Genomic DNA, 26836 nt, shown 5'->3' on the forward strand with positions numbered 1-26836 from the left:
TCCTGCCTTAAAATGTTCTTGTTTATATTGATATAGCTACATTCATTTTCTTTTGACTGGAATTTGCATGATATACTTTTTAATCCATTTACTTTATACTGTCTACGTTCTTATATCAAGCTATGTTTCTTACAAGCAGCTATAGCAGAGTTTTGTTTTCTATCCAATTTCTGACAATCTTTTAATTGGATTGTTCAGTCCATTTACATTTAATACAATATAATAAGAAATATAAAATATCATTACTAATATGTCTACCATTTTACTACTTGTTATATATCTCACCCAACTGAGTTTTTTTCTCTCATTTCTTACTTTCCTTTGGATTTAATTAAATAATGCAATATTATTCTATTTTTCATCTATTAATTCCTTTTACTTTTTTAGTTGTTCTTTTGGTGATTAGCCTAAATATTGCAATTTATTACAGTCTATATTATTTTTCTAGGGCTGTCATAACAAATTACCTCAAACTAAGTGGCTTATAACAACAAAAATGTTAAAGTTCTGGAGACCAGAAGTCCAAAATCAAGATGTGAGCAGGTTTAGTTCCTTCTGAGGGCTCTGAGAAACAGCCTGTTCCATGCTTCTCTCCTAGCTTCTGATGACAGCCAGCAATCTTTGGCATTCCTTGGTGTGATGGTTAATAATGAGTGTCAACTCGATTGGATTAAAGGATGCAAAATACTGCTCCTGGTGTGTCTGTGTGGGTGTTGCCAAAGGAGATTAACATTTGAGTCAGTGGACTGGGAAAGGCAGACCCACCCTTAATCTGGGCAGGCACAATCTAATCAGCTGCCAGTGTGGCCAGAATAAAAAGCAGGCAGAAGAATGTAGAGAGATTAGACTGGCTTAGCCTCCCAGCCTACATCTTTCTCCTGTGCTGGATGCTTCCTGCCCTCAAACATCAGGCTCCAGGTTCTTGAGCTTTGGAACTCAGACTGGCTTCCTTTCTCCTCAGCTTGCAGACAGCCTATTGTGGGACCTTGTGATCGTGTGAGTTAATACTCCTTAATATACTCCTTTTTATATATACATCTATCCTATTAGTTCTGTCCCGCTAGAGAACCCTGACTAATACACTTGACTTGTAGGTGCATCACTCCAATCTAATCTCTGCCTCCATCTTCCCATGGTATTCTCTCTGTATCTCTTGTCCTCACATGGCTGTTTTCTACTCTATGGTGTCATTCTACTCCAGTATGCCCTCATCTCTAGTTTAATTACATTGGAAATGACCCTGTTTCCAAATAAGGTCACATTCTGAAGTACTGGGGTTAGGACTTCAACATACCTTTTGGGGAGGACACAATTTAACCATAACACAGCCTAAAAATTTTTTTTTACCACTTCCCTGACAATGCTAGTACTTTAGAACACTTTAACTTCATTTACCATATCTTGTCTTTTGTTTTGTTGTTATTGTATATTCAATTTTATATATTTTACATTTTTTTAATTTTTCCTTTTGTTTTCCTTTTTTTGAGACAGTGTCTTGCTCTGTTGCCCAGGCTGCTGGAGTGCAGTGGCATGATCATGAATCACTGCAGCCTCAAACTCCTGGGCTCAAGTGATCCTTCCAACTCAGCCTCCTGAGTAGCTAGAACTACAGGCATACACCACCATGCCCAATTAATTTTTGTAGAGATGGGTCTCACTATGTTGCCCAGGCGGGTTTGGAACTGGCCTTGAGAGATCATCTCACCTCATCCTCCCAAAGTGCTGGGATTACAAGCATAAGCCACCAGACCTGGTGAAATTCTGTATGTTTTAAATTTTAAACAGCATTACTATTGTTGCTTTATACAGTCAAAATACATTCATATATACCCATATATTTAACTCTTTCATTACTCTTCATTTTTTTTTTTTTGCACTTTCTTTTTCCATCTTAGAACATTTTCTTTCCCAGTTTTTCCTAGTCTGCTGGGACTCCAGTTACATATATGTCAGACCTGTTCATTATGTCCCATTTGTCCCTGGTGAAATTCTTTTTTTTTTCTTAATCTATTTTCTCCATATTTTTCTCTATTTTCTTGAATACATTTATTATAGTCATATTAAAATATTTGTTGACAGCTATAATTCTGGATCACCTGTCTGATTTCTCTCCCCCTCTCTCTTGCTCTCTGCCTCTCTTTCTCTGTCATTTTGTCCTATTTCTTGGTATGCCTGATACTTTTTGATTGACAGTCAGATACTCTCTGAAAAATTACAGAAGTTTTGGATGATGAAGGAATCTCCAGAGAGGGCTCACCCTTTCCTCTGATAGGTAGGTAGAATTAGAACCGGCCACTTCAATTCAATCAGGAACTGAGCTAACTCAAAGTTAGGCTGCAGTTTTACTAAGGCTTTTTCCACCTCTTTATTTATTTATTTATTTATTTTAGAGACACTCTGTTGCCCAAGCTGGAGTGCGGTGGCACAATCCTAGCTCACTGAAGGCTCAGACTCCTGGGCTCAAGCAATCCTCCCACTTCAGGTTCCCAAGCGGCTAGGACTACAGGTGCATGCCACCATGTCCAGCTAAATTTTTTTATGCATATTTTGTAGAGACAGGGTCTCACTTCATTGCCCAGACTGGTCTCAAACTCCTGGCCTCAAGCACCTCAGCCTCCCAAATTGCTGGAATTACAGGTGTGAGCCACTGCACACAGCCTCTTTCTACCTTTGTATTACTACCACTCTAGAGCTTAGCTGCTTAAGTTCCAACTAAAAGCCTGGGACTTCTCCAGGTTCCAGCCCCCATGTCACGTTCTGAACTCTAATCCTTGACTCCTCAGCCATGTGCAACTGCCAGGAACTCCATTCTGCTTTGCCTGGCTTCTTAGGTTCCTGAATTTTACAGCTTCAGAATTCAGCAAAATGGAAAAAAAACAAAAACAAACAAAACAAAACCACCTTGCTGGGCATGGTGGCTCAATCCTGTAATCCCAGCATAAAGTGTGACGATTTCTTGAACTCAGGAGTTTGAGACCAGCCTGGGCAACATAAGGAGACCCCGTCTCTACAAAAAATAATAATGATAATAAAACAATTATTCAGGCATGGTGACATGTGCCTGTAGTCCCAGCTACTTAGGAGGCTGAATTGGGAGGATCACTTGAGTCCGGAGATTGAGGCTGCAGTGAGCTGTGATTGTGTCAGTGCACTCCACCCTGGGCAACAGGGAAACCCTGTCTCAAAAAACAAACAAAAAAAATGGTCAATTGCTGGGCCCAGCTTTCTGTCCCTCCAGTCTACAATATGTATTTCTTCACACCCACAGGATTGACAAATGCTCTGATGGCTACTCTGCCTTCCAGCAAAAGCCCTTTCCCCAGGCCCTTTACTGGGTTTTCAGCGACATTCCTTGAGCCCAGAATTGTGAAACTCCCCATGGTAAAACATTGTTGCAGAATGTCCTTTCAGCTCTCCATGGTTCTCATCTCTCCAGAATCTTGACCTCTCAAGTTCTGCATTGCCTTAGCAGCTTCCCAATACCCATAAAGAGCTTTTGGGTTTTTTTAAATCCAATTTTTATACTTTTTCTTAAAGGGTGCATTTTTCTGCCGTAAGTTACTCTGCCTGGCTAAAAGTAGAAGTCCTAACCACAGAGTTTAGATCTTCCCTTTCGATGAAGCTATTGATTATGTTCAGGAAGTTAGACTGCTAAATAAGAGAGTTTCTCGTTTTTCTCATCAGGTATATCATGGACTTTAAATCCAAACTGTATAGTAATTAGTGTGCCCTATGGGAAAACATGAATTTAAATTAACAAAAGAATATGTCATTGGACTACTTTATCAAGAAATGAATGAGAAAAATAAATATGCAAAATAAAAAACAAAACGTACAATTAATAAAATACATTGAAAACAAATTTTATTCAAGATTGAAGCAAAAATGTTAAATTTATTTTATGTTGGTATAGACAACTTAATCAAACTATAAAATAAAAGTGGAATTCTTTCCAAAAGTGGTATAGTTCAGTGAATTACTAGCAGAGGCTTTTTTTACCTCAGATGTACAGAATTGAGTTGATAATATTAATTTCTTAGCAAGCTATCATCATTTATCCATGTTAAACCCCACTTTTTAAATTTTTTAATGTAATTATTAGCTTTTTCCTTAATCTCAAATCCCTAGTTCTCAATTCAATTTCCTTTCATAAGCTCTATCTTTTATGTATTTTAATTGATACATAATCATTATACATATTTATGGGGTATATAGTGATTGTTTGTTTATTTGTTTGTTTGTTTTCAGCACAAGGTCTGGCTCTATCCCCCAGGCTGGAGTGCAGTGGCATGATCTTGGCCCATTGCAACCTCTGCCTCCCAGGCTTAAGCCATCCTCCTACCTCAGCCTCTGGAGTAGTTGGGACTAAGTAGTTGGGACTACATGCACGTGTCACCACACCTGGCTAATTTTTGCAGTTTTAATAGAGATGGAGTTTCACCATGTTGCCCAGGCTGGTCTCAAATTCCTGGGCTGAAGCAATCCGTCCACCTCAGCCTACAGTGATGTTTTGATACATACAAAGTATAGTGATCAGATCAGGGTAATTAGCATATCCTTCATTCCAAACATTTATCATTTCTTTGTGCTGGGAACATTCAAGATCCTTCTTCTAGATATTTGAAACTATGTAATACATTATTGTTAACTATAGTCATCCTACAATACCATAGAACACTAGAACTTTTTCCTTTTATCTAGCTAGTTTTATAGTTTTGGTCTCATATTTAAGTCTTTGTCATGCCAGACCCTTACTGACTTCAGTCAACAGAGACTGAAGAAGAGGCCCAGAGCCAGTGAACAAGACATAGGGCTTATTGAGAAGACTTATATACAGGGCAGTCCGGTGGCCATGGACTGGGCAGGAGAACCACAACTGCTTATAAAAAGCATGCAGTGTATATAGCATTTTCACGTAGCACCCTTCCCCTAGCAATCTCCACCTGGCAACCTTCATTTAACCCAAAACAAAGTACCTTGATCCCCTACGCTACCTGAGTTCCACAGGATATCCCAGAGGGTTCAGATGTTCCTCACAGATAAGGAATGAATCTGTGGGTTGGCTGTTCCCAGGTTCCTTAGCTCAGAAGTCTGAACATACATTCTTAAACCATAGGGTTATTCTTAAGGTATGCTTAAGTTATTGCTGCCAGGTGTACCTGCCATACAGTCTTTGATCCATTTGAGTTTATTTTTGTATAGAGTGAGTGGGGAGGGAGAGATAAACATTTAGGTCCAGGAAGCTTGTCCATAATGAAACTATGGCAGGGGCCAGGAAGGAAGATTGTAAACAAATAATATTACCTTCCACATTATTATTGTTATTATTTACAAAATTTTCATACACCCGTGGGTCTATTTGAGTTTTAAATTCTGTTCCAGGGTTGGGCTCAGTGGCTCACGCCTGTAATCCCACCACTTTGGGAGAACTAGGCAGGAGGATAGCTTGAGCTAAGCAGTTCGAGACCAGCCTGGGCAACATAGTGAGACCTTATCTCCACAAAAAAATTAGACAGGCATGGTGGCACGTGCCTATAGTCCCAGCTACTTGGGAGGCTGAAGTGGGAGACCACTTGAGCCTAGGAGGTTGAAGCTACAGTGAGCCAAGTTCGCATCACTGCACTCAAGCCTTAGCAACACAGTGAGATCCTGTCTCAAAAAAATAAATAAGTAAATTCTGTTCCAACGGTCTAGTTTCCTGTTCCTCTGACAAAAACATAAGTTTTAATTATTATAACTCCATAATATACTTTCATGTCTTGTAGATTAGGCTCCTTTCTCTGCCCTTTTTTATAAAATTGACTTTCCTAATTTTTACTCCTTAATTATTCTATATAAATATTAGAAAAAGTTTGATTTCCTCAAAAATTCTAAAATTTTAATTAGAATTGCTTTTATTGATTAGTCAGGGGAGGACTGACATATCCACACAGTGATTTAAGACAATAAGAGACCATCTTACACTTACTATGTTATTAAATAATACTAAGTGCAGGTGAGGATACTAGAAAACTGTCTTATGGTTGGATGGAATGGTGCTGCCATTTTGGAGAACAGTATGGCAGTATTTAATAACATTAAATAGGCAGTTTTTAGTAGCATTAAATACGTGTAAATGTTATGATGTAGCACTTCCTCTAATGAGTTTTTACCCCAAAGAACAGTTGTAGAGATATACAAGGAGACATACACAAGATATTCATTGCAGTTGTTTGTGGTAACTAAGAGTTGGAGAAAACTTACATGTCCTTTTATAAAGTAATGGATAAGGAAACTATATAAGCATATGATCGAATATAATGCAACGATCAGAAGCTGCCATTGAGAAAAGCATGGTGGCAAGAAAGCAAAAATGAATCAGGTTTTAGAATTACATTTATCAAATAATTTAGGTGTGGTTACAGACATATGGAATTGACTAGAAGTAAATTGATCAGAACTCTATTAAGGTTTTGAAGGAATTATTTTGCCAAAAACAAAAACTAACAAATGGAGTCAACAACAGAATCTGGACTAAAAAAATTTTTTTGACTAGTCTAGTCTTAAAATGAACTTCTTGTAATCCTAACACTTTGGGAGAAAGAGGTAGAAGAATTGCTTAAAGCCAAGAGTTCAAGACCAACCTGGTCAACATAGTGAGACCCTGTCACAAAAAAGCAAACAACAACAACAACAAAAAACACAGGCCAGGCATGGTGGCTTATGTCTGTAATCCCAGCACTTTGGGAGGCCAAGGCGGGCGGATCACTTCAGGCCAGGAGTTTGAGACCAGCCTGGCCAACATGGCAAAACCCCATCTATACTAAAAATACAAAAATTAGCTGGCCATGGTGGCACATGCCTGTAATCCCAGCTACTTGGGAGGCTGAGGCACAAAATCCGGTTGAGCCCCAGAGGCGGAGGTTGCAGTGAGCCAAGATCACACCACTGCACTCCAGCCTGGGTGACAGAGGGAAACTCTGTCTCAAAAAACAAAACAAAACAAAAAAGTCAGGTTCTGAAATTTGCATAGCTGAAAGCAGGCTCAGAAAGCTGTGCAGTCTCCAAGGACATATTCCTCAACAACCTCTTCAGGTATGGCCATGAAAAATAGACAAGGAAGAACATCCGGCAGGAAAAACCCAAGAACCATGAAAAACAGTGGATAAGGGAATGCCTCAAAGGGAGTAGAACCCAGCTCTAATTACAAATTAGCCCACACCCCAGTTAAGAGGAATTCACAATGCATGCCTCAGAGGATTTTATCATTGTAATGAACCAGCAGTTACTATGTGTCTCCCATTATTTTTCTTTTCAAGTTAAGAATTCTTAATTGTAGCCATCTAGCCCTGTCCCTAATGAATGTATTAGGTATGTGGGAGTAAGAATGAGAATAGGTGCAAATAATTTATCTCTTTAGTTCATGGGTGGCTTGACCACAAGAAGCCACTTCTATGACTGAAATAACTGTGTATCACTAGGAAATCCTAGAACTTGAATTGGATGCACTGACTGATACTTTGAGCAGTCACTCTTAAGATAAGGTGTATCTTATGTGTGGGAAGAAGAGTAAAACAGATGCTATTTACCAGAAGAGTGAACTATGGCAGAAATTGGCCAGACATTCAGCAAACCTATTTTTTTTCTCCTAGACTCTCAGCTAGACCATATTTCCCAGCCTCTGTTTTGGTGAGGTGCAATTATATGACTTTCAGCCTATGGAATGTGGAAAGAGTGATGATTATACACCACTTTCAGGCTTGGCTTGTAAAAATCCACCAATCATTCCTTCACTTTCTCTCCTCATAGTTGGCTGGATAGTGACACCTAAAACCACAGCAAAAGATGGCAGAGCTTCCACCAGCCTAGGTTCCTGAATGACTGCATGGAGTGTGCCCCAGCCCCTGCTGACAGTTGGACTTTATGTGAGTGGGAAATTGTTATTATGTTAAGCCACTGATATTTCAGGAGTTATAGCAGTTAGCTTAATACATGAATACACTTTAAACCAGAAATACCAGTTTTTAAAAGCTTTTCACCTAGAGGGAACATGTACAAACATTGGTTATGGTAGTTGGGGTTAACTTTGGTATTCGTCACTTAAAAAGATAGGTAAATATAAAAACACCCCAGAGCCTAGGAAAAAAACAAAAACAAAACAAAACAAAAAGATAGGTAAATAAAAATGAAGCATCTGGAAGCAATGTACTAGATGAATGTACAATGAGACGGATAAACCTCAAGAACATAGTGTTGATCGAAAAAAGCAACGAGCAGAATTACAGATAGCAGTAGTACAATATCATTGATGTAATTTTGAAATAAAATGGGGAAAAAAACTATAGCACAATACCACTGATGTAAATTTAAACACATAAATACACAAAACAGTATTATATATTTTTCAAAGATACACACATATCCAAGGGTATATACCAAACATGTCAGGGAAGAAGAATGGGTCTGGGAGTCAATTGAATGGGGAAAAAAAAGAAAAGAAAGGGGATATTGCAGAAACAATAGTGATAAAGTGCCATCAATTGAGGGCTATGATTGACTCAATTTTCTGTATCTACATGTGATAGATGCTGCAATATGCCACCCAGATTTCTTCTTCAGGAATGGAAGATTTGTTCCCCCAGCTGCTAAAGTGCTGCAGGAAGACACTCCTCAGCTCTCAGTCCTCTTTGGGGATTGCTGTGGCAAAAGAAAACTGGAGGTCCAAGATGATACCTCCTTCCAAGAGTAGCTCATATACAATGATTGAGAGGTGCCTGTTCTTGCTTCAGCTAGGGACAATTTTGAAGGGCCATCCCAGATCCAGAGCTTGTCATCAGGTTGATTAATTGATTACATTTCAACTTCTCCCTCTACCCAATTCTGCTTTCGTTCCCTCCCTTCCACAAGTGCTGATCCCAAGACCACTGCCTAATAAATGGCCTGCACACTAGTCTCCATCTCTTCTTCAACTGTATCTCCACCTCTTCTTCCTGAAGCAACATGCTGTGACACAAACGTTAATGTATGTTCGTGTATCTTAACCTTTGTTGCTCTATATTTCCCTTCTGCTCACCTCTATTTTTCAAGTTTATAGCAACATTTTGTGAAAATAAATAAATATGAAAGTTTTACAAAGTATCATCAGAATGTATTTCTATATCAGCTTTAGCAATAACAAAACATGCTAGAATTTCTTCCAAGAACATAAAATAGCTGAAAGTACCCTAGCCATTGAAAATAAAAGATATCATCCTTGTTTATCAAGAAAACTTAAAGGAATACAAATGATGAAAAAATAAATAGACATGTAATCAGTTCCCATTAGGTAGCAAGTTAAATGCCAAACCAAAGCTTCCTCATTAAATCAGTTGTACAGTTGTGTTATTTCCAAACTCCTACAACATCACACATGAGTAGAAGTCACTTAGAAACCTCTTTAATTCCCTTAATACTTGTTCATTTAATCCACTTGCCTAGACTGTTGTTTTCTTGTGAGCCTTTGATGAGCTTTCAAACCTACAGGTTCCTATGTTTGACAAGTGTTTCCTACAACTAACTGTGTTATTAGCTTCCCAAGGCTGCTGTAACAAAGTGCCATAAACCTGGTGGTTTATAACAACAGAAATTTATTCTCTCACATTTATGGCAATGAAAAGTTCCAATCAAGGTGTCAGCAGGGCCATGCTCTGTCTGAAACACTTTATGGCAGAATTCTTCCTTGCCTATTCTAGCTTCTACTGGTTGCCAGCAATCCTCACATGAGTTTCTCCCTGTGTGCCCTCTCCTCTTCCTTTAATGTAATCACTAAATGCAGTGATTACATTTAGGGCCCACCCTAATCTGATATGACTTCATCTTAATATACATCTTAATTACGTTTGCAAAGATCTGATTTGCAAATAAGGTCCCATTCTGAGGTTCCAGGTGGATATGAATTTGGGAGGGACGCCATTCAACCCAGTAAAGTTTGCCCTCTGCTTCCCCAAAACTCACACCCATCCCATGCACAAAATACATTCACCCCATCCCCATATCCTCAAAAGTCTTAACCTATTCCAGGATTAGCTCTAAATTCAAAATCTCCCCTAAACATCCACCAGTAAAGTTCCAAATATCATCAGCTATATAATCTAAACCAAGTATGGGTGAAACTCTGGGTATGGTCCATCCCAGGGCAAAATTATTCTCCATCCACAGATTTGTGAAACTAGAAAACAAGTTCCCTGCTTCCAAAATACACTGATGGAACAGGCATAGGCCAGGCATTCCCATTCCTAAACTAAAAAATTGGAAGAAATGAAGGACTTACTTGTCTATAGCAAGTTCACAATGCAGCAGTGCAAATTCCCTCAGGTTTCAAAGCCTAAGAGTAATCCTCTGTGGCTTGATGCTATGTCCTCTGGGCCCTCTGAGGTAGGAACTCCTTTCTCTCTGACCTCTGCTTCATGGCTCTGCCCTCAAAAGTCATTCCTCCTTCATTTTGTCTTGTCTCTGTCCCTTTCAGTCCAGGCTGGCAGTGTTTCTGCTGGTATAAAATTCTCAAAAACCTTGTAAGTCTTTTATGAATGTCAAGGAGTCTTACATTGTTAGACATGAAGGTGCTCCATGGGTCCTTCCTGGATAACCCCATCTTTATTGCAGGCTGTTACTGAGATGGTTGACTGGATCCCTAAATCACACACCTAATGTCTATCGCAAACAGCTGTCCAGCTACACCTTAGCCCTTTTTTCATAGCATGCTATTTGGATAGCATAAGAATCTTCCAAATGATCAACTCTTGGTTTCTTTTTCCTTAACAGTGCATTTCTCAATGTATCTCTTTCTTCTCTCATTTTACTGTCAGCAGCAAAGAGAAATCTGGCTGCACCTTTCATACTTTGCCTGGAAATCTCCTAATCCAAATAACCAAGTTCTTTTACAAGTTCTACTTTTCACCGAACAGTAGAGCATAATTCAGCCAAGTTTTCTGCCACTCTATGACAAGGATTGCCTTTTCTCTAGTGGCCAAGAATATGTTCCCCATTTATATCTGGGACTTCACCAGAAGCACCTTTATTGCTCATATTTCTAGAAACATTCTTTTAGTGGTAATATATATATGTGCCTTAACACAATAGAAGCTCTCTCCATAGCTCTCCTTCCTTCTTTCTGAGCCCTAACTAGAAGCCCCTTAAACTTCAGTATTTCTACCAACAGTCTCTTCAAGGCAACCCAGGCTTTTTCTGGCATGCACCTAAAAATTCTCCCAGCCTCTACCCACTACCCAGTTCCAAAGCCACTTCCACATTTTTAGGTATTTGCTACAGCAGCATCTCACTTCCCAGTACTATTATGTTTATTAGTTTCCCAGGGCTGCCATAACAAAAGACCACAAACTAGGTGGCTTATAACAACAGAAATTTATTCTCTCACAATTCTAGAAGCTTGAAGCATATAATCAAGGTGTTGGCAGGGCTGCGCTCTCTCTGAAGGCTCTAGGAAAGGACACTTTCTTGCCTCTTCCAGCTTCTGGTGATTACCAGCAATCCTTAGTGTTCCTAGGCTTGAAGATGCATCACTCCAATCTCTGTCTCCATCCTCCATGGCCACATTCTGAGGTGCTGGGTGGATATGAATATCCAACACATTTCAATCTGGTAGTCTTTTTCTGCCGCCTTCTTATTTCTGTTTTAACTCACTGTCTCCAAGTCCAAGCTGTTCAATTCCCTTTATAATGAAGAGAAAAATAAATGTTGCCAAGGGAAAGTATTCTGTTTAAAGTTAAGAAAACTACTTGTCAGAGTCAGTCCTATAGTTGCTTTAATTATATGTATAAGTACCCCTGGAGTTATTTGTTGTATGTTTGTTTGTTTGGGGTGTTTGCTGCAAGCACCCACTGGTTCCACACAATCTTTTCTGGATTCTGTTAGCTAGTATTCTATTCAGGAATTTTACACCTATGTTCATGAGTGAAATTGGCCTGTAATTTCTCTTTCTTGTTTCTTTCTTTGTCTGCTTTGGTTATACTAACTTCAAAGACTTAGGGAGTATTTCCTCTTTTTCTAGTCTCTGGAAGTTTGAACAAGATTGGAATAATCTATTCAATGACAGTTTGGTAAAATTTTTCTGAACGATTCTTTGGGCGCATTGTTTACTTTGTGGAAAAAGTTTAAATTATTGATTGGTTTGACATTAGAAAATCCGTAAACATAATTGATTATGTGAACAGAACAAAAAAAAAACACATCTCAATAAGTGTAGAAAAAAGCATTTAGGCTGGACACGATGGCTCACGCCTGTAATCCCAGCACTCTGGGAGGCCAAGGCGGGCAGACCGCAAGGTCAGGAGTTCAAGAGCAGCCTGACCAACATGGTTAAACCTCATCTCTACTAAAAATACAAAAATTAGCCAGGCATGGTGGCACACACCTGTAATCCCAGCTACTCAGAAGGCTGAGGCAGGGGAGAATTGCTTGAACCCAGGAGGCGGAGGTTGCAGTGGGCCAAGATGGCGCCACTGCTCTCTCCAGCCTGGGTGACAGAGCAAGAATCCATCGTAAAAAAACACAAACAAACAAACAAAAACAAGAAAAAGAAGAAAAGCATGTAATAAAATTCAACATCTGATTATGCTTCAACATCTTTTCATAACTACTAAAACATTACCAAAGCTAATTTTTTTTAAAACATCATACCCGGGCATAGTGGCACATGCCTGTAGTCCCAGCTGCTAGGGAGGCTGAAATAGAAGGATCACTTAAGCCCAGGAGTTCAAAGCTGCAGTGAGCTATGATAGCACCACTACACTCCAGCTTGGGCAACAGAGTAAGGGTCTCGGTATAGCAAAAAGAAAACAGAAAAAAAAAAAAAAAGAAAAACATCATTCTTAGTAGTGAAACTTAGCTGTCTTTTAAAAAACCAGAACATGACAAGCATGCCCAACATTAATACTTTTACTCAATATTATATTTCAGGTCTTAGCCAACCCAGCAAGGCCTAGGGTTGGAAAAGGATAAATTTTTTCCACATATTCACATTCACAGATGATAAGACTATCTAGAACACCCAAAACAATAGACAAATTATTGGAAACAATGAGAGAGTTTGGCAAAATGGTTCTTTCTCTCTCTCTCTCTCTATATATATATATGTATATATCAATAAAACAATCCCTTCCCTTCCATATATATAATCTCTACACCTCAGCAAAAATAACTCAAAAATATAATATTAAAGTCTTTATTACACAACTTTTCAAATATACACAAAAATTGGGAGAATAGCGTAATGAACTCTCACATACCCATTACCCAGCTTCATTTCAACAATTATCAACACTTGGCCATTCTTCTTTCACCTCCCTTAACTTTTTTAATGAACTACTTAAAACTAAAAATAGTGACATTATGTCATATGAACTATTTTAAACAAATGTCATGTCACCTTACCAGTAAATGCATATGAGTTTCTAATAAAGGCCTTTTATTTTTATCATAATGAACATGATTTTAGCATATAACCTAATCCAATTAATGCTAACACCTTAATATCATCTAATATCCAGTACAAATTAAAATGTATCAAAGTGCTTCAAAAATATCTTTTTACACTGGTTTGATAAGCCATACTTTTTTTTTTTACTATTATAGCAATAAAACAAGGATGTGTGAGACCTATATGAAGGAAACTGTAAAACTTTACTGAAATTCTTTAAAGAAGAAAATAAATGAAGAGATATACCATGTTCAATGATGAGAGGACTCAATATCTTTAAAATCACAATAGTGAACTATAAATTCAGTGCAAGTCTCATCAGCATTCAAATGGGGTTTTCAAAGAACTTGAGCCTCTGATTCCAAAATTTATATGGGAGATCAAAATCTCAAGAAAAGCAAAGAAGAATATAGTGGAAGATTTACCCTAACAGGTAAGAAAACTTATTATAAAGTAATATTAAGATAGTATGGTGTAGGAGGAAGAATCTATAGATCAATCAGTGGAATGAAATAGAGTCTATATGGAAGCTTGATGTGGCACTGCAGCTTCCTTCTTAAATGAGAAAACACTTACTAGATGCTATGAGGACTATCTGTTATTCTCCTGGGGAAAAAATAAAAGAAATTGAATATCACACTATAACCCAAAATCAAGTCCATAAAGATTAAAAACTTAAATGTTAAAAGCAAAAATTTGAACTTTTAGAAGAAAATATAATATCTTTACAACCTTGAGGTAAGGGAGAATTCATAAATAAACTTGATTAAAGGATGTACAAATTTAGCTATATTATAATTCAGACATCTTTTCACTGGGGAAGTGAAAAAACAAACTATAAACTTGGGGAAGATATTTTTCAACACATACAACTGATACAAGATTAATATCCAAAATAGATACAAAATGCCTACAAATCAGTAGCAAAAGATAAACAACATAACACAAAAATGGGCAAAAGAAAAATAAGCATTTTACTGCAAGGAAATACAAATAGACCATAAACATAAGAAAAGATATTGCTGCGTTTTGAATGATGTTATCTCATTCAAAATTCATGTTGAAACTTAATCCCTAATGCTGCAATATTAAGAGGTGTGGCATTTGGGAGGTGATTAAGTCATGATCTTAACCTCTTGAATGGTATTAGCACCTTATTAAAGAGCTCAAGATTGAAGGGACTGTTCTGCCTTTCCACCTTCACACAGTGCTCCTCTCCTCCAGAGGATGCAGCAACAAGGCACCATATTGGAAGCATAAAGCAGCCCTCAACAGACATCAATCTTTTTATTTTCTTATTTTTAGTTTTTGTGGATACATAGTAGGTGTATATATTTATGAGATACATGAGATATTTTGATACAGGCATGCAATGCGTAATAATCACATCATAGAAAATGGGGTATCTAACCTCTCAAGCATTTATCCTTTGTGTTACAAACAATCCAATTATACTTTTAGTTATTTTTAAATGTACAATTAAATTATTATTAACTATAGTCACCCTGCTGTGCTACCAAATACTAGACCTTATTCATTCTTTTTTTCTGTACTCATTAACCAACCATCCCTCTCTCCTCCCCCAACTCCCCTCCCTCCACCAAATACCAATCTTGCCAACATCTTTTTGGACTTCCCAGCCAAGTACAAGAACTGTGGGAAATAAATTTCTATTGTTTATAAATTGCCCAGTCTCTCAGGGATTTTGTTATAGCAGCACAAACAGGCTAATATACTTGACTTTATTTGCTTTCCTTTTTAAACCATATTCTTTTTTTTTTCTTTTTTTTGAGACAGAGATCTCACTCTGTCACCCAGGCTGGAGTGTAGTGGTGACATCATGGCTCACTGCAGCCTCAAACTCCTGGGCTCAGAAGATCCTCCCATCTCAGCCTCCTGAGTAGCTAGGACTATAGGCACACACCACCCCACTTGGGTGATGTTTATATTTTTTGTAAAGACTATCTCGCCCAGGCTCTGTATTAACCATTTTTAAGTACAGGCATGCCTCAGAGATATTATAAGTTTGGTTCCAGATCACCACAATAGAGCAAATATTACAATAAAGGGAAATCACATGAATTTTTTGGTTTCCCAGTGCACATAAAAGTTATGTTTACATTATACTGCAGTCTATTAACTGTGCAATAGCATTATGTCTAAAAAAAACCAATGTGCATACTTTAATTTAAAAATATTTTGGAGGAGGCAAGACAAGATAACTGAATAGATGCTTCCACTGATCATTCTCCCCACAAAAACACCAAATTCAACAACTATTTACAGAAGAAAGCACCTCCGTTAAGAACCAAAAATCAGGTGAGTGATCACAGTGCCTGGTTTTTAACTCCACATCTCTGAAAGAGGCACTGAAGAGGGTAGGAAAGACAGTCTTAAATTGCTGACACCACCCCTTCCCCATCTCTTGCACAGAGAGAGAATCTGTGTGCTTGGGGGTCAGGAAGAGCACAGCAATTGTAGGATGTTGTATTGGAACTAGTGCTGCCAACACTGTGCAGAACTCAGCTGACACCCACAGAGGCAGCACTGAGATGAGCCCTAGCCAGAGGGAAATCACCCATCCCAGGGGTCGGAACCTGAGTTTCTGCAAGCCTCACCTCCATGGGCTAAAGTGCCCTGGGGTTCTAAGGAAACTTGAAAGGCAGTCTAGGCGACAAGGACTGCAACTCCTAGGCAAGTCATAGTGCTGTGCTGGGCTTGGAGCCAGTGGACATGGAGGGACATGCACCTAGTGAGGCACAGCCAAGGTAGCTAAGGGAATGCTTGCACCACCACTCCCCCTATCCCAAGCAGCATAGTTTGCAGTTTCAGAAGTGACCCCTTCCTTCTGTTTGAGGAGAGGAGAGGAAACAGTAAAGACAACTTTGTCTTGTGACTTGGATACCAGCTCAGTCTTAGTAAGATAGGGTACCAGGCAGAGTCCTAACACATCTAGCTCCCAGACAGCATTTCTAGACACACCCTGGGAAGAAGGGAACCCACTGCCTTGAAGAGAAGGACTCAGGCCTGGCATGATTCACCACCTGCTGACTAAAGAGCCTTTGGGCCCTGAATAATCAGCAGCGGTAACCAGGTAGAACACACCATGGGCCTTGGGTGAGACTCTCAGATGTGCTGGCCTGCAGTGTGACCCAGCACATTCACAGCTGTGATGACAAAAAGGAGAGACTGCTTCTGCCTGCGAAAAGCAGAGGGAAGAGTAACAGGGACTTTGTCTTGCAGCTTAGATACCAGCTCAACCACAGTGGGGTAGAGCACCAGGTAGTAGGCCCATGGGATTCCTGATTCCAGGCCTTGGTTCTTGGCAGGTATTTTTAGACCTACCCTGGGACAGAAGGGAACCCACTTCCCTGAAGGGTGAGTCCCAGGCCTGGCAGCATTCACTATAGCTGACTGAAGAGCCTTTAGGCCTTAAGGGAGCATCAGTGGTAGTGTGGGAGTACTCCTCATGGGCCTGTGCTGGTGGTGACTGAGGGGAGAGACTCCTGTGCCTGGGGAAAGGAGAGGGAAGAGTGGGAAAGACTATGTCTTGTGGTTTGGGTGCCAGCTCAGCTGCAGTAGAATAGAGCACCAGGTACATATCTCAGGTTTCCAACCCCAGACCCTGGCTCTTAGACAGCATTTCTGGACCCACCTAGGGTCCAAGGGAACTCGTTGCCCTGAAGGGAGGGACACAAACCTAACTGGCTTTGCCACCTGCTGACTATAGAGCCCTAGGGCCTTGAGCAAACATAGGCAATAGCCACGGAGTAGATACAGCAGGCCTTGGGTGAGATCCAGTGCTATGTTGGCTTCAGGTCTGACCTAGTGCAGTCCCAGCGGTGGTGATCACAGTGGTGCTTGTGTCACCCCTCCCCCAGCTCCAGGCAGCTCAGCACAGATACAGCAACTGTGTTTGTTTGGGAGGAAGTAAAAAAACAAGAGTGTCTGCGTGATAATCCAGAGAATTCTTCCAGATTTTATCCGAGACCACCAACATTGTCCCTCTGTGAATATGCAAGAACCACAGTGTTACTGGGCTTGCGGTCCCCCCTAATGCAGATATGGCTGCAGTGACCAAAAACTTAGATCACAATACTCGAGTCTCTTTGAATACCTGGAAACCCTTCCAGGGATAGGTACAAACAAGCCTACACTGCAAAGACTACAATAAATACCTAACTCTTCAATGCTCAGAAACCGACAAACATTCACAAGAATCAAGGAAAACATGGCCTCACCAAACAAACTAAATAAGGCACCAGGGTCCAATCCTGGAAAGACAGAGATATGTAATCCTTCAGACAGAGAATTCAAAATAGTGTGTTGAAGAAACAAAGAAATTCAAGATAAATTCAACAGAAGGAATTCAGAATCCTATCAGATAAAATTAACAAATAAATTTAAATAATTAAAAAGAATCAAGCAGAAATTCTAGAGTTGAAAAATGCAATTGACATATTGTAGAATGAATCAGAGTCTCTTAACAGCAGAACTGATCAAGCAGAAGGAAGAACTAGTGAGCTTGGAGACAGGTTATTTGAAAATGCACAGCCAAAAGAGACAAAAAAGAAAAGAATAAAAAAGGATGAAGCACACCTACAAGACCTAGGACATAGCCTTAACAGGGCAAATCAAAGAGTTACTGAATTTAAAGAGGAGGTAGAGACAGAAATAAGGCTAGAAAGTTTTTTCAAAGGAATAATAGCAGAGGACTTTCCAAACCTAGAAAAACATATCAATATTCAAGTATAAGATGATTATAGAACAACAAGCAGATTTAACACAAAGAAGACTCCTAAAAGGATTTAATAATCAAACTCCCAAAGGACAAGGATAAAGAAAGTATCCTAAAAGCAGAAGAAAAAAGAGAAAGAAAGAAAAGAAAAGAAAGAGTTCTAATATTCCTGGCAGCAGACTGTTCAGTGGAAACCCTATAGGCCAGCAGAAAGTGGTACGACATATTTAAGGTGGTGAAGGAAAAAAACCATTTACTCTAGATTAGCGTATCTGGCAAAAATATCCTTCAAACATGAAGGAGAAATAAAGACTTTCTTAGACAAACTAAAGCTGAGGGATTTCATCAACAACAGACTTGTCCTACAAGAAATGCTAAAGAAAGTTCCTCAATTTGAAAAAAAAAAAAAAAAAGGATGTTAATGAGCAAAATGAGCAATAAGAAATTACCTGAGGCCGCACACGGTGGCTCACACCTGTAATCCCAGCACTTTGGGAGACCGAGGTGAGTGGATCACCTGAGGTCAGGAGTTCGAGACCAGCCTGGCCAACATGGTGAAACCCCATCTCTACTTAAAATACAAAAATTAGCCAGGCGTGGTGGCAGGCGCCTGTAATCCCAGCTACTCGGGAGGCTGAGGCAGGAGAATTCCTTGAACCTGGGAGGCAGAGGTTGCAGTGAGCCAAGATCGCGCCATTGCACTCCAGCCTGGGGGACAAGAGCGAGACTTCGTCTGAAAAAAAAAAAAAGAAATCGTCCGAAGTACAAAACTCACTGGTAATAGTAAGTACACAGAAAAACACAGAATATTATAACAGGGTCATTGTGATGTATAAATACTCATATCTTAAGTAGAAAGACTAAAAGATGAACTGATCAAAAATAATAACTACAACAACTTTACAAGACAGTACAATGAGGTATAAATAGGAACAACAAAAAATTTTTTTAAAAGGAGGAACAAAGTTAAAGTGTGGCGTTTTTCTTAGTTTTGTTTGTTTATGCAATCCATGTTAAGTTATCATCAGTTTAAAATAATGGGTTATAAGATATTATTTGCACGCCTCATGGTAACCTTAAGTCAAAAAACATACAATGAATACACAAAAAGTGAAAAGCAAGAAATTAAATCATACCACCAGAGAAAATCAGCTTCACTAAAAGCAAGATAGGAAGAAGGGAAAAAAAGGAGGAAAAGACCAGAAAACAAATAACAAAATGGCAGGAGTAAGTCCTTACTTGTCAATGACATTGATAGCAAATGGACTAAACTCTCCAATCAAAAAACATAGAGTGGTTGAATGGATTTAAAAAACAAAATTCAACAATTTGCCTATAAGAAACACACTTCACATATAAAGACACATACAGACTGAAAGATAGTTTTCAAGACAAAAACTATAAAAAGAGATAAAGAAGGTCATTTTATAACAATAAAGGGGTCAATTCATCAAGAGGATATAACAGTTGTAAATATATGTGCATCCAACACTGGAACACCCAGATATACAAAGCAGATATTAGAAAGATAGATACCAATACAATAATAGCTGAAGACTTCAACACCCCACTTTCAGCACTGCATAGATCATCCAAACAGAAAATCAACAAAGAAATATCAGACATAATGTGCACTATAGACCAAATGGAACTAATATGCATTGACAGAACATTTTATCTAATGGCTGCAGAATATACATTCTTTTCCTCAGCAAATGGGTCATTCTAAAGGATAGACCATATCTTAGGCCACAAAACAAGTCTTAAAACATTCAGAAATTGAAATAATAGCAACTGTCTTCTCTAACCACAACGGAATAAAACTAGAAATCAGTAACAAGAGGAATTTTGGAAACTATACAAACACATGGAAATTGAACACTATGCAACTGAATGAACAGTGGGCCAATGAGATTAGGAAGGAAATTGAAAAATGTCTTGCAACAAATGATAATGGAAATACAACATACCAAAAATAATGGAATAAAACAAAAGCAGTATTAAGAAAAATATAAACCTGTAAGCACCTACATCAAAAAAGTAGAAAAACTTCCAATAAACAACTTAATGATGCGTCTTAAAGAACTATAAAAGCAAGGGCAAACCAAACCTGAAGTTAGAAGAAGAAAAGAAACAATAAAGATCAGAGCAGCACTAAGTGAAATTGAAATGAAGAAAGCAACACAAAAGATCAATGAAACAAAATGTTGATTTTTTTGAAAAGATAAACAAAATTGACAAATCTTTAGCCGACTAAGAAAAAAAGAGAGAAGATTCAAATAAAATCAGCAGTGAAAAATGAGACATTACAATTAATACCACAGAAATTCAAAGGATCACAGCCAGGTGCGGTGGCTCACACCTGTAATCCCAGCACTTTGGGAGGCCGAGGCGGGTGGATCACGTGGTCAGGAGATCGAGACCATCCTGGCCAACACGGTGAAACCCCGTCTCTACTAAAAATACAAAAATTAGCCAGACGTGGTGGTGGGCGCCTGTAGTCCCAGCTACTCAGGAGGCTGAGACAGGAGAATGGCGTGAACCCGGGGAGACGGAGCTTGCAGTGAGCTGAGTTCGCACCACTACACTCCAGCCTGGCAACAGAGTGAAACTCCATCTCAAAAAAAAAAAAATTAAAAAAAAAAAAAAGAAATTCAAAGGAACATTAAAGGCTACTATGAGCAACTATATGCCAATATATTGGAAAACCTAGAAGAAATGGATAAATTTCTAAACACATAAAACCTATCAATCTTGAATCATAAAGAAATCCAAAACCTGAACAGAACAATAACAAGTAATGAAATCAAAGCCATAATAAAAAATCCTCCAGCAAAGAAAAGCCTGGGATCTGGTGGCTTCACTGCTAAATTTTACCAAACATTTAAAGAAGAACTGATCCCAATCCTACTCAAACTATTCCAAAAAACAGAGAAGGGAATACTTTCGAACTCATTCTACAAGGCCAGTATTATCCTGATACCAAAAAGAAAAACACATCAAAAAAAGAAAACTACAGACCAATATCCCTGATGAACATTGATGCAAAAATCCTCAACAAAATTACTAGTAAACCGAATTCAACAAGACGTTAAAAGCTCATTCATCATGACCAAGTGGGATTTATCCCAGGGATGAAAGAATGGTTCAACATACACAAATCAATGTGATACATCATATCAACAGAATGAAGGACAAAAAGCATATGATCATTTCAACTGATGCTGAAAAAGCATTTGGTAACATTCAACATCCTTTTATGATAAAAACCATCAAAAAACTGGACATAGAAGTTACATACCTCAACATAATAAAAGCCATATACAACAGACCCACAGCTGACATCATAGTGAATAGGGAAAAACTGAGAGACCTTCCTCTAAGATCTGGAACACTGCAAAGATGTCCACTTTCACCACTGTTATTCAACATAGTACTGGAAGTCCTAGGTAGAACAATAAGACAAGAGAAAGAAATAAAGAGTATCCAAACTGGAATAGAAGAAGTCAAATAATCCTTGTTTACAGATTATATGATCTTATATTTTGAAAACTCTAAAGACTACCAAAAAGCTTTTAGAACATATAAACAAATTCAGTAATGTTGGCTGGCTGCAGTTGCTCATGTCTATAATCTGAACATTTTAGAGGCCAAAACAGAAGGATTGCTTGAGCCCAGGAGTTCAGGATCAGCATAGGGAGACTCCATCTCAAAAAAAAAAAAAAAAAAAAAAAAAATAGCTGGGCATGATGGTGCATGCCTGTGGTCCCAGCTACTCAGGAGGCTGAGGTGGAAGGATTGCTTCGGCCCAGGAGATTGAGGCTGCAGTGAGCCCTGATCACACCACTGCGCTACAGCCTGGATGACACAGTTAGACCCTGTTTCAAAAAAAACAAAACAAAACTCAGTAAAGTTACAGGATACAAAATCAACATACAAAAATCAGAAGCATTTATATATGCCAGCAGTGAACAATCTGAAAAAGAATTCAAGAAAGTAATCCCATTAACCCATTTATAATAGCTACAAATAAAATTAAATACCTAGGAATTAACCAAAGAAGTGAAAGATCTCTACAATGAAAACTAAAAAACATTGATGAAAAAAACAATTTTCAAATTTATACAGATCCACAAAATACCCATAATAGCCAAAGCTATCCTGAGCAAAAAGAATAAGACTGGAGAAATCACATTACCTGACTTATCAAAACAGCATGGTAGTGGTATAAAAACAGACAGACCTATGGAACAGAATAAAGAACCCAGAAATAAATCCATACATCTATAGTGAACTCATTTTTGACTAAGGTGCCAAGAACACATATTGAGGAAAGGACACCATCTTCAATAAATGTGCTAGGAAAACTGAATATCCATATGCAGAAGAGTGAAACTAGACCCCTATCTCTCACCATATACAAAAGTCAAGTCAAAATGGATTAAAGATTTAAATCTAACACCTGAAACTATCAAACTACTAAAAGAAAACACTGGAGAAACTCTCCAGGTCATTGGACTGGGCAAAGATTTCTTGAGTAATACCCCAGAAGCACAAACAGCCCAAGCAAAAAATGGACAAATGGGATCACATCAAGTTAAAAAGCTTCTGCACAACAAAGGAAACAATCAACAATGTGTAAAGACAATCCACAGAATGGGAGAAAATATTTACAAACTATTCATCTGACAAAAGATTAATAACCAGAATATATAAAGAGCTCAAACAACTCAAAAGGAAAAAAAAAAAGTCTAATAATCTGATTTAAAAATGGGTGAAAGATCTGAATAGACATTTCTCAAAAGAAGACATACAAATGGCAAATAGAAGAGGGCGCGGTGGGTCATGCCTGTAATCCCAGCACTTTGGGAGGCTGAGGTGGGCACAACACTTGAGGTCACGAGTTCAAGACCAGACTGGCCAACATGGTGAAACCCCATCTCTACTAAAAATACAAAAATTAGCCAGTCATGCTGGCAGGTGCCTGTAATCCCAGCTTCTCGGGAGGCTGAGACACGAGAATCGCTTGAACCCGGGAGGCAGAGGTTGCAGGGAGCCGGGATCGTGCCATTGCACTCCATCCTGGGCGACAGAGTGAGACTCTATCTCAAAAAAACAAAAAACAACAACAACAAAAAACCCAAATGGCAAATAGACATGTGAAAAGGTTCTTGACATCATTGATCATCAGAGAAATGTAAAAAACATTTTCTTTGCTCATCCAAAACTACAGTGAGATATCATCTCATCTCAGCTAAACTGGCTTTTATCCAAAAGACAGGCAATAACAAATGCCAACAAGGATATGGAGAAAAGGGAACCCTTGTACACTTTTAGTGGGAATGTAAATTAGTACAACCCCTATGAAGAACAGTTTGAAGGTTCCTCAAAGAACTAAAAATAGAGTTGTCATATGATCCAGCAATCCCACTGCTAGGTATATACCCTAATGAAAGCAAATCAGTATATTGAGGAGATATCTGCACTCCCATGCTTATTGCAGCACTGTCCACAATAGCCAAAATTTGGAAACAACCTAAGTGTACATCAGCAGATGAATGGATAAAGAAAACATGGTGCATATACACAATGGAGTACTATTCAGCCATAAAAATGTATGAGAGCTTATCATTTGCAATAACATAGATGGAAATGGAGATCATTATGTTAAGTGAAATAAACCAGGCAGAAAAAGACAAACTTTTCATATTCTCACTTATGTGGGAGCTAAAAATTAAAACAATTGAACACATGGAGATAGTAGAATGATGGTTACCAGAGGCTGAGAAGTGAAGTGGGTGGGGGATGTTTAATGGGTACAAAAAATAATTAGAAAGAATGAATAAAACCTATTATTTGATAACACAACACAGTGACTATAGTCAATAATAATCTAATTGTACATTTAAAAATAACTAAAATAGTATAATTGATTGTAATGCAAAAGATAAATGTTTGAAATGACTGATACCCCATTTACCCTGATATGATTATTAGGCATTGAGTGATAGTATCAAAATATCTCATATACCCAATAAATATATACACCTGTGATGTACCCAAAAAATTAAAAATTCAAACAATTTTAAAAATTAAAAATAGATATTTTGTTGCTAAAAAATGCTAACAGTCATCTGAACCTTCAGCAACTTGTCATCTTTTTGCAGTTGGAGGGTCTTGCCGCAATGATATCGAGGGCTGCTAACTGATAATGGTTGCTGAAGGTTGGGGTGGCTGTAGCAATTTCTTAAGAGAAGCTAAAATGAAATTTGCCACATCGATTGACTGTTCCTTTCACAAAAGATTTCTCTGTAGCATACAATGCTGTTTGATAGCATTTTACCCACAGAGCTTTCAAAATTAGAGTCTATTTGGGTGTTGAAACTTAATGGCAAAACAAACAAAAAAATAGAGCCTATCTCTCAAGCTCTGCTCCTGCTTTATCACCTATGTTTAAGTAACATTCTAAATTCTTTGTTGTCATTTCAAAAATTTTTACAGCATCTTCACCAGGAGTAGGTTCCATCTGAAAAAAATTTTTTTTTGCTCCATAAGAAGTAACTCCTCATCCATTCAAGCTGGTTTTTCTGTTTGTTTTCAGAGACAGGGTCTCTGTCACCCAAGCTGTAGAGGAGTGCAGTGACATGATCACAGCTCACCATAGCCTCAAATTCCTAGATCCCTCACATGTGCAGTTCACAATAGGGTTTGCGCTCCTGTGAAAATCTAATGCTGCTGCTGATCTGACAGGAGGTGGAGCTCAGGCGGTAATGCTCACTCCCCGCCCATCCCCACCCTGCCTCCATCCCCCGCCCTGCACCTTCTCTGCTCACCTCACGCTGTGCGTCCTTGTTCCTTACAGGCTAGGGACCAGTACCGGTCCAAGGGCCGGGGGTTGGGGACCCCTGTTCTAGTTAACTTGCTGCAGCTCCTACATCAGTATTTGCTGCTTCACCTTACACTTCTATATTATGAAGACAGCTTCTTTCCTTAAACTTCATGAACCAACCTCTGCTAGCTTTTAACTTGTCTTCTGCAACTTCCTCAGGTCTCTCAGCCTTCACAAAATTGAAGGCAGTTAGGGCTTTGCTCTGGATTCAGCTTTGGCTTAAGGAAATCTTGTGGCTGGTTTGACCTTCTATCCAGACCACTCAAACGTTCTTCGTATCAGCAGTAAGTCTGTTTCACTTTCTTATCATTCATGTGTTCACTGGAGTAGCACTTTTAATTTCCTTCAAAAACTTCTCATTTGCATTCACAACTTGGCTGTTTGGTGCAAGGGGGCCTATCTCAGCTTTCAACATGCCTTCTGCACTAAGATGAATCATTTCTAGCTTTTGATTTAAAGTGAGAGATACGCAACTTTTCCTTTCACTTGAACACCTAGAAAACCATTGCAGAGTTCTTAATTGGCCTAATTTCAATATTATTGTGTTTAAGGGAACAGATAGGCCCCAGGAGAGGGAGAGAGATGGCAGAGTAGCCTGTCAGTGGGGCAGTCAGAACATACACATTTATTGATTGATTGCTGTCTTCTATGGGTGTGGTTTGTGGTGCCTCAAAACAATTACAACAGTGATTTCAACTTATCACTGATCATAGATCACCATAGCAGATTTATGGGAAGAAAAATGATAAACGCAATCATATTGGTAGTGTTCTAGTCCTAGGTTCGTTCATGCATGTTCATGTTATTGATAAGCACCATAACTTCAATTTCATATGTATAAAAATGCTCAAAAAAGTGTACATCCTCTTTTAGCACTGTAGTGAGTCAACATTCCCCAACAAAAACTGGATTTCCTGAAAAACAGGTTAAGGTAGGAGGTTGGGGGGGGGATGCTTTTCAGAATGGCAAAGGTCAACATGTATCATCTTCTGTAAGTAAAATGTATGTATAGGCATACCTTTCTTTCAGTTTAAGACAAGGGGGTGTAGTGGGGAATTATCGTGTAAAACTACACCAGTATCTTAAGCATGAAAATCAATTATATGCTTTTCTTTTGTTTGTTGGTCAAAGAAAAAGATTATAACTCAGAAAACTTTCTTGGAGATGCGTATGCTCAGTGTATCCAAACTTTAGGCATGTCAGGTACAATATTGATTTACAAAAAGTTCCTCTAATCAATCCTGAGCTAATAACTTACTGTGGAAAGAGTAATTGATCAGAGCCATCCCTCCAATTGGAGTCAACTTCCATGACTGTTCGGATTTCCTTTATTTTGGGGGCAGTTCATCCAAACTTCTATTAAACGGCAACTAGTTCACTTTTGAGAAGTGGTTTACAAGAAACAACAACAACAACAACAAAGCAGTTGCGGAGGAAAGAAAAGAGACAAAGTAAAAAAAACGGAAAAGAAATCTCCCAGGAGAAAGGGATGTGGAAGCTGAAAACACGGACAATTTCCACAGTAAGACTTCCAAAAGAATGTGCAAGATCCGAGCAAAACTTTCAAGGGCTCTTTTTCAGTGTAATGGTAGTGAGAAAGTTCAGCCTGGAAAGCCCAGGGCTTAAAACAACAACAACAAAAAACACAATATGCAGGATCGTTCGGCTTCAGCAGAACCCACCGCAAAGATGGCGGTGGGACGAAGCCCCTTCTCCCGCCGCCGAAGCCTCTCGCCTCACATTTCCCACAAACCCT

At 38.7% G+C, this 26836-nt stretch overlaps 2 long non-coding RNA genes across 4 annotated transcripts, besides 1 other annotated feature; one reads left to right on the forward strand and one right to left on the reverse strand.

Moving 5' to 3' along the window:
* The first annotated feature begins 780 nt into the window (after window positions 1-780).
* Window positions 781-9117, forward strand: LOC124902482 (uncharacterized). Of its 2 annotated transcripts, XR_007062246.1 has the most exons (3): window positions 781-996; window positions 7789-7904; window positions 8565-9117. It is a non-coding gene; the product is annotated as an uncharacterized LOC124902482 (long non-coding RNA). The 2 variants fall into 2 exon arrangements; XR_007062245.1 differs by lacking the exon at window positions 781-996 and having other exon boundaries at window positions 4852-7904.
* A 2247-nt stretch (window positions 9118-11364) lies between these two features.
* TNKS2-DT (TNKS2 divergent transcript) lies at window positions 11365-26817 on the reverse strand. 2 transcript variants are annotated; one of them, NR_108071.1, is made up of 2 exons: window positions 26763-26817; window positions 11365-11686 (listed from the first exon to the last, which is right to left on the reverse strand). It is a non-coding gene; the product is annotated as a TNKS2 divergent transcript (long non-coding RNA). The 2 variants fall into 2 exon arrangements; NR_108070.1 differs by lacking the exon at window positions 26763-26817 and adding an exon at window positions 26339-26722.
* Window positions 26661-26830: an enhancer, noted in NCBI's record as "active region_3764". NCBI's record gives its function as "activates an Ori minimal core promoter by ATAC-STARR-seq in GM12878 lymphoblastoid cells {active_cell/tissue: GM12878}" and the evidence as "EXISTENCE:reporter gene assay evidence [ECO:0000049][PMID:35858748]".

This window comes from Homo sapiens, chromosome 10 (assembly GCF_000001405.40).
Source record: "Homo sapiens chromosome 10, GRCh38.p14 Primary Assembly".
NCBI lineage: Eukaryota > Metazoa > Chordata > Mammalia > Primates > Hominidae > Homo > Homo sapiens.